The 8,870-nt window shown below is 50.3% G+C and overlaps 2 annotated features.

Annotated features, from left to right (window-relative positions):
* Window positions 6,657–7,158: an enhancer, noted in NCBI's record as "H3K27ac hESC enhancer chr14:91311907-91312408 (GRCh37/hg19 assembly coordinates)". NCBI's record gives its function as "activates a minimal SCP1, AML or CMV promoter by ChIP-STARR-seq in naive H9 embryonic stem cells {active_cell/tissue: H9 hESC(naive)}" and the evidence as "EXISTENCE:reporter gene assay evidence [ECO:0000049][PMID:30033119]".
* Window positions 7,159–7,658: an enhancer, noted in NCBI's record as "H3K27ac hESC enhancer chr14:91312409-91312908 (GRCh37/hg19 assembly coordinates)". NCBI's record gives its function as "activates a minimal SCP1, AML or CMV promoter by ChIP-STARR-seq in naive H9 embryonic stem cells {active_cell/tissue: H9 hESC(naive)}" and the evidence as "EXISTENCE:reporter gene assay evidence [ECO:0000049][PMID:30033119]".

Consider the following 8,870-nt stretch of genomic DNA (forward strand, 5'->3'; position numbering starts at 1 on the left):
GGGAGCCTGAGGCACGAGAATCTCTTGAACCCGGGAGGCAGAGGTTGCAGTGAACCGAGAATATGCCATTGCACTCCAGCCTGGGTGACGAGAGTGAAACTCATCTCAAAAAAAAAAAAAAAAAAAAGGCAGACAAGGAACAGGCAGACCAGAAGCCCTGGGGGAGCGGCCACTGATTTTGCTTCTGCCCAGCGTCCAGTCTCCTGCCCTCGGCTTCTGCTCCCACTTTGCTTTGGAGAAATGACCTCAAACTAGCACATGATAAGTACCCGTCAAGGAGGAGGATGCACTGCCTTCCTCTAGTCAAGGCTGAGCATGTGACCCAGCCAGGCAGTTAGAACCCTTCCTCCCTGATATTTCAGTCTAGCCTGGAGAGACCTAGGGATGAAGGAAAAAGAAACTCAAACTTAAACACAGTCACTCACACGATTCCCTGCCCACTCACGCCGGATTAGATGTGTTCAGTACTGAGGACCAGATGAAACATCCATTTACTTTCCTTTCCCAGGCCCCAAGGGCCACCCAGGCCCTGCCCCTTCCAAGTCTGGGCTTTGTGCCTTCGGTCATTTGCCTCTCCCACTTCCTGTTGTCCATTCCCTTTTTGCTTAAGTTACTCAGTTAACTTTTTGCTTAAGTTACTTAAGTTAGTTTTTGTTGCTTTTGAACAAAGAACCTGAGGGAGACATCTGGTAAATGATTTTTATAACAATTGGAGTTGGAAAAGATTTGGGAGACTAAGAGAACTGTCCAGAGCCCAGACCCAGGCGGAGAAATGCTGGCCCTGGGGCGGAGAGCACAGAGAACAGAAGCAGTACTGCTCCCACTGTGCAGAGCACAGAAACCTATCTTTGTTTTCTTGGTTGGATGAACAGAGATCTTAATATCTCCTTTTTTTTTTTCTTTCCAGGGTCTTGCTTTGTTACTTAGGCTGGAGTGCAGTGGTGTGATCATGGCTCACTGCAGCCTCAACCTCCTGGGCTCAAGTTATCCTCCCACTTTAGCCTCCCAAGAAGCTGAGCCTGTAAGTGTGTGCCACCACACCTGGCTAATTTTTGTGTTTTTTGTAGAGACGGAGTTTGGCCATGTTGCTCAGGCTTTAATATCTCTTTGAAATGGTTTGGATGTTTGTCCCCTCCAAACCTCACGTTGAAATGTGACCCCCAGTGTGGGAGGTGGGGGCCTAGAGGGAGATGTGTAGCTCATGGGGAGGATCCCTCATGAATGGCTTGGTGCCACCCCTTGGTGATGAGCGAGTCTCACTCTGTTAGTTCATGTGACAGCTGGTTGTTTAAAAGAGCCTGGCACCTCCTCTCCCTCTTTCTCCTCTGCCCCCCTCTCCATGTGACACACCTACTCCCCCTTCATCTTCTGCTGCGATTTTTTTTTTTTTTTTTTGAGACAGAGTCTCACTCTGTCGCCCAGGCTGAAGAGCAATGGTGTGATCTCGGCTCACTGCAACCTCCACCTCCCGGGTTCAAGTGATTCTCGTGCCTCAGCCTCCCGAGTAGCTGGGATTACAGGCACCCACCACCATGCCAGGAGAATTTTTGTAATTTTATTACAGTTGGAGTTTCACCATATTGCCCAGGCTGGTCTCAAACTCCTGACCTCAGGTTATCCACCCACCTTGGCCTCCCAAAGTGCTGGTATTACAGGCATGAGCCACAGTGCCCAGCCTCTGCTGTGATTATAAGCTTCCTGAGATCCTCATCAGAAGCTGAGCATACTTCATGTATAGCTTGCACAACTGTGAGCCAAATAAACCTCTTTTCTATATAAATTACCCAGCTTCAGTATTCCTTTATAGAAACACAAAATGGACTAACATACCCTTCCTTGCTCTTCACTGATGTTTAATAACTCACTGCTCAGGGTAGGCCTGTGGACAAATTCAGTTTCACAGGTCACTCATTCTGCCAGGCCCACGTGCCCCAAAGGCCTGATGGATGGCAGGAGTGAGCACACACAGCCCCTCAAACTGAACTTTGTACAACCTGCCCTCTCACCCCGCAGATCATCTGGATTAAATTTTCTTTTTTCTTTTTTTGAGACAGAGTCTTGCTCTGTTGCTCAGGCTGGAGTGCAGTGGCTCGATCTCGGCTCACTGCAAACTCTGCCTCCTGGGTTCAAGCAATTCTCTGCCTCAGCCTCCTGAGTAGCTGGGATTACAAGCACCCGCCACCACACCTGGCTAATTTTTTTTGTATTTTTAGTAGAGACTGGGTTTCACCATCTTGGCCAGTCTGGTCTTGAACTCCTGACCTGGTGATCCACCTGCCTCGGCCTCCCAAAGTACTGGGATTACAGGCATGAGCCACCGTGCCCGGCCATCTGGGTTAAAATTTTAATCCTTGGGCAGCCTCCTCTCACCCTTCAGTGTGCTTAGAGTGCACTGTCTCCCTTATGAGTTGTTTAGGGAATGTTTCTAGCCTGAGTGGAATCACGGCAGGCGAATCTGCGGTGTGAGGCTCTGACTGTGGCTCTGCTCCTCTCCTCCAGGTTATGCAACCAAGGATGGGCTGCTATTTGCTGGTGGGACTAGGCTTGTACTTAGGTTGCACTTTTTTTGAGAGACAGGGTCTCGCTCTGTCACCCAGGCTGGAGTGCTGTGGCGCGAACTTGGCTCACTGCAACCTCTGCCTCCCAGGTTCAAGCGATTCCCCTGCCTCAGCCTCCCGAGGATCTGGGATTATAGCTGCGTGCCACCGTGCCAGGCTGATTTTTGTATTTTTAGTAGAGACGGGGTTTCACCATGTTGGCCAGGCTGGTCTCAAACTCCTGAGCTCAAGTGGTCCACCCGCCTTGGCCTCCCAAAGTGCTGGGATTACAGGCATGAGCCACCACACCCAGCCTATGCTGTCCTTTAAAAAATCATTATGAAATATTTCATACATGCAAAGGGCATAAGGATACTATCATGAACACCTGCATGCTACCACTATGCTGAACAAATCAAGCATTAGAAATGCAGTTGGTGGGCCGGGCACGGGGGCTCACGCCTGTAATCCCAGCACTTTGGGAGGCTGAGATGGGCGGATCACAAGGTCAGGAGTTCGAGACCAGCGTGGCCAACATGGTGAAACCCCATCTCTACTAAAAATAGAAAAATTAGCTGGGCATGGTGGCACACATGTGTAATCCCACCTGCTTGGGAGGCTGAGGCAGGAGAATCGCTTGAAACCAGGAGGCGGAGGTTGCAGTGAGCTGAGATGGCACCACTGCACTCCAGCCTGGGCAACAGAGTGAGACTGCGTCTCAAAAAAAAAAAGAAAAGAAAAGAAATGCAGTTGGCGCTCCTGTGTGAATCCCTGTTTAAAGAGCCTCACACTGTTAACTGGAGCTTTGCAGAACTTGCTCATATGCTTAGGGTCAACAGCAATTCAAGGTGGGCCAAGATTATACATGGCTTCCATGTCTGATCAGATAAGACACCGGAGAGTTGCTAGGTTTTTCAAATTGCTAGCAATTACTATCCCTATCACCATGCTTTTTTTAAATTTAATTTAATTTAATTTTTTTTTTTGAGACAGAGTCTCGCTCTGTTGCCCAGGCTGGAGAGCAGTGGCGTGGTCTTGGCTCACTGCAAACTCCACCTCCTGGCTTCACGCCATTCTCCTGCCTCAGCCTCCCGAGTAGCTGGGACTACAGGTGCCCGCCACCACACCCGGCTAATTTTTTTGTATTTTTAGTAGAGACGGGGTTTCACCATGTTAGCCAGGATAGTCTTGATCTCCTGACCTCGTGATCCACCCATCTCGGCCTCCCAAAGTGCTGGGATTACAGGCGTGAGCCACCGCACCCAGCATCACCATGCTTTTCTGCATCCAAAATAGGTCACCTGCAGCAACGTGGGAAGCCTTGTACATTGAGCTGAGGATTTTTTCAGTCTACTGCACCTCCTTCTCGTCCTAATAATAACCACACTGTAGAGGTGGGGGGAGCTCTTGAGGCCCAAATTGTGAAGTACTGCCCAGGCCTGCGCCTTCCCCTCTGCCCACATCTCATGCAGGGCCACCATGCCTGACGTCTGCAGCACATGCTGACGCTTCCTGTTCTAGGCTGCCTTTCAAAGCTTTGTTGCGTACAACTGGCTTTACACCCTCCCACAGTCTTGGCAGCCTATTAATAACTACTATGCTTTTGGAGCATCCCAACTCTATAGACACTTTCTTTAGACTCTACAGTATAAAGAATTACCCCAGAGAATGTTCCAGTCTTCTGCAGCCTTAGGAACTGTTACAGAGAAAAACTGACTGAAGGATAACATTACCCCTGTTTTACAGATAAGGACACTGAGGACCAGAGAGGTCTGATGCTCTAATGATTGGCACTCAGGCAGCACTGAGAGGTGGGAGCAGACCTGCTGAGCAGGTGGGACTTTGAGGCAGAGGCTTCCCCTGGGTCTTCCTTCCACCACAGGCTGCTTCTGGCTTCTGGCCAGGCTGGTCTATCTACTATTTTGGTTGTTTTTTAGCCACTTGTACTTGAACCAATGGAGGGACCCAGGGTGACCTTAATCTGTTTCCTGTGAGTTTTTCTAATTTTAATTTTTTTTTTTTTGAGACGGAGTCTTGATCTATTACGTAGGCTGGAGTGCAGTGGCATGATCTCAGCTCACTGCAACCTCCGCCTCCCAGGTTGAAGCAAGTCTCCTGCCTCAGCCTCCTGAGTAGGTGGGATTACAGGTGTCCACCACCACACCCGGCTAATTTTTGTATTTTTAATAGAGACGGGGTTTCACTATGTTGGCCAGGCTGGTCTCAAATTCCTGACCTCAGGCGATCCGCTCGCCTTGGCCTCCTAAAGTGCTGGGGTTACAGGTGTGAGCCACCGCGCCTGACCTTAATTTTTTTTTTTTGAGACAGGGTCTCACTTTGTCGCCCAGGCTGGAGTGCAGTCACGTGTTCTCAGCTCACTGCAACCTCCACCTCCCGGGTTCAAGCGAATCTCCTGCCTCAGCCTCCTGAGCAGCTGGGATTACAGGTACCCGCCACAACACCTGGCTAATTTTTGTATTTTTAGTAGAGACGGGGTTTCACCATATTGGTCAGGCTGGTTTCGAGCTCCTGACCTCAAGTGATCTGCCCATCTTGGCCTCCCAAAGTGCTGGGATTACAGGCATGAGCCACTGCACCTGGTCTAATTTTTGATTTTTTTTTTAAGAGATGGGGTCTCTCTCTGTCACCTGGGCTGGAGTGCAGTGGTGTGATCATAGCTCACTGCAGTCTCAACCTCCTGGATTCAACAGATCCTCCACATTCAGCCTCCCGAGTAGCTGGGATTACAGGTGTGTGCCACCACACCCAGCCACTTGTGAGCTCTTGATGCACTCATCAGCACCAGTTAGAGCCTCAAACAGCCACAAAGACACAAACTGGGAAGGACTGACTGGTGGTTTGGCTCAGCTGTACCATCTGGAATGATAATACAAGTCGGATAGAATCAACACTGATATTTACTAAAACACCCAGGGGTGCTTTATATACATTATTTTTACAAAAATGAGATTCTTGACTCAATCTGAGTATGTGGCTCACCATCCTTTGCCACATCCTGCAGAGAAAGTCCACATGCAGATGGGGTAGCAGCCAGCCAGAGCTATCCCTGTGGTGATCAGTGGTCCAAGGCTAGCCCCTCCCCCCACACCTCTACACGGTAGCTTAGTCCACTGCATTTGATGGCCTCTGGTTTTACCCTGGGGATTACTTCTTCTCTGTCTTATAAATAGCCAAACATTTGCCCTGGTTAGCTGGTAATCCGTGGGGCTGACTCTGAGATGTCAGCATTACACCCACCTGAGTTTAAGCTCAGCACAGGACACAACACAGCATAGGTGACCAAAGTTAAAGAAACACAAAATGGGCCAGACGAAGTGGCTCACCTGTATTCCCAGCAATTTGGGAGGCTGAGGCAGAAGGATCACTTGAGCCCAGGAGTTTGAGATCAGCCTAGAAAACATGGTGAGACCTTGTCGCTACAAAAAAATAAAAAATAAAAAAAATTAGCCAGGTGTGGTGGCACACGCCTATGGTCCCAGTTACTCAGGAAGCTAAGGCAAGAGATCGCTTGAGCCCAGGAGTTCAAGGCTGCGGTGAGCCATGATTGTGCCACTGTACTCCAGCTTGGGTGACAAAATGAGACCCATGATCTCGGCTCATGGCAACCTCCGACTCCTGGGTTCAAGTGATTCTCCTGTCTCAGCCTCCCGAGTAGCTGGGATTACAGGTGTGCACCACCACGCCCAGCTAATTTTTGTATTTTTAGTAGAGAAGGGGTTTCACCTTGTTGGCCAGGCTGGTCTCGAACTCCTGAGCTCAAGTTATCCACCCGCCTCAGCCTTCCAAAGTGCCAGGATTACAGGTGTGAGCCACCACACCCGGCCTACTGTGTCATTTTATGTCAGGGACTTGAGCATCCTCGGATTTTGGTGTCCTCAGATCTTGGTGTGCTGGAGCCCATGGATCCTGAGAGACAACTGTATTTTCATCACCTCCAGAAGAAACCCTGTGTCCTTTAGCTATCCTCCCATAGTCTCCCAAACTTCCCAGTCCTAGACAACCATGAATCTAGTTTCTGTCTTGGCCTGGGAACAACGGCATGTTTCCCTGAGTGACGCCTCAGCTTTAGGACTGAGTGCTTGGTGCAAGGGTCCACAGTAGCCTCTGGTCTCCCTGGTTTGCCTCTCCCAGCACGGAAACTCTGCCTCAGGAGCCAGGACAGGCCATCAGGGTGCCAGTATTCACATCCCAGGATGGGGCCCGGGTAGGGCCTCCATCCCACGAGGGGGCAGGAGGATGAAGGGAGCCCCCAACTCTCGCCTGTCCCTGCCCAGAACTTAGCCTCAGCAACAGGAACTGGGGGCAGGAGGAGAAATGCTGGCATGCTGCTTCTCTTGGGAAGGCAGCCCTCCCACTGGGTGCTGGGGAAGACAGAGCCCTGCGCCCTTGGCTGCTCCGTTCTGGAGTGGAGTTTCTGTCTTGCTGCGCTGGAGGTCAGAAGTCCAAAAATCAGTCTCATTGGTCAAAGTCAAGGCGTCAGCAGGGCTGGCTCTTCTTGGAAGGGCTTGGGGAGAATCCATTTCCTTGTCCTTTCCAGCTTCCACAGACCAGCTATGTCCTAGATTCATGGCTCCTTCCTGCACCCTCATGGCCAGTGGTGTGGCATCTCCTCTCCTCTCTGAGCTCCCGCTTCCCTCTTAGAAAGACCTTTGTGATGACATTGGGCCCATCCAGATTGGCCAGGGTCATCTCCCCAACTCCAGATCCTTACCTTAATCCCATCTGCAAGGTTCCTTTCGCCACGTAAGCTAACATAGCCACAGGTTCTGGGGATTAGGACATGGATGTCTTTGAGGGGGACCATTATTCTGGTGGAAAGTAGGAGAGAAACAAAGTGGTAGCCTCCAGCTGAGAGGCAGATGAGTCTAATTCCCATCTTGGCTCATCCGCGGACCCAGCCAGGAGCAGCACAGGATGTTTCCTGTCCTGTGGGACTGCCTCTCCCCAAAACCCCCTCACCACCCTGTTGGAGTTCCACCTTCACCCATGCTGTCAGCAGAGACTCTTGCTTTGGGTCTCCCCGAGCCTGGATAACAATAACTCCTATTTATGAACACCTACTGTGTGCCAGATATGGTTGGGCTAGAAGGTTTCCAACACTGTCTTGAAGCCACGTAAGTACTCTTCAAGAAGACAGTATTGTTCTCATTTTAGAGAAGAAGAATCCAAGGGTTAGGAGTGTGACTCGCCTACCTCATGTGGTCAGAAAAAATGGATGAGTAAGGATCTGTGGTGGTTTAAAAACATGTCCACAGATTTTTTGGTGCTCCACCCTTCCACAGACCAAGCCTCATTCTCCTGCTCCCAAGGGTGGTTGTAACTGGTCGTTGGCTTCTAGAGAATGTAGAGATGAGTGCAGAATCTGGCAGAGATGACGGCCTGTGGCATCTGAGAGTAAGACATCAAAGGAACTGTAGCTCCCTCCTTGTCTTCTCTCTCAGATCATCAGCCTGGGGGAGCCGAGTGCCCTATTGCAAGGGCACTCACACAGCCCTGTGGAGAAGCCCACCTTGCAAGCTTCCTGCCATGTGAGCCAAGTTGGAAGCGGATCTGCCAGCCCCAGTCAAGCCTTCCAGTGATGGCAACCTTGGCCAACATCCTCACCTTGACTGCAACCCATGAGAGCCTCTGAGCCAGAACCATCCAGCTAGGCTGCTTCCGAATTCATGACCTACCAGAACTGTGAAATACTGAATGGTTATGGTTTTAAGCCACTATTTTGGGGGTTATCTGTTGTGCAGCAATAGATAGGTAATATAGCATCTGAGTCTGTGCTTATTCTGCCAACAGATGCCACCTCCAAAACGATCAAGTTAGGTCATGATGTCTTTGGAAGGCTGGGAGAAGCTGACGTGGAGGGATAGAAGGTGGGAGAGTTTCTGAGGATAAAGAGTGAAGGACAAGTGGCTCAGGGAGTGGGGGCAGGAGGGTGGGCTGAGGAATGACTGGGCCCCAGAAGACTGGGTGGGTGGCAGCCAAGGGGACTGAGGAATCAGCTACCAAGAACCGTGGGAATGGAGACCTAGGCGTGCCCTCCCTCAATCATCTGCTCCGGGGCTCATTTTCTGGAACCCTCGAAGGATGGGGGCTTGATGAAGGGAGGCATGAATGGGTCCTAGGGGAAAAGACCTTTCAGAACACTAAATGGGCGAGTGGCTTCCTTCTCCTTTTAAGCCGTCCTTCAGGGCAGTTCAGAAAACGCTGCATTCAGTTATCCACACACGGTTTTCATTCAAGCATAAGTTAATGTGAGTCTTCTAAGATGTAAATTCACTGATACAGATTGTTGTGCTTCTTTAACACTCTCACTTA

This window comes from Homo sapiens, chromosome 14 (assembly GCF_000001405.40).
Source record: "Homo sapiens chromosome 14, GRCh38.p14 Primary Assembly".
NCBI lineage: Eukaryota > Metazoa > Chordata > Mammalia > Primates > Hominidae > Homo > Homo sapiens.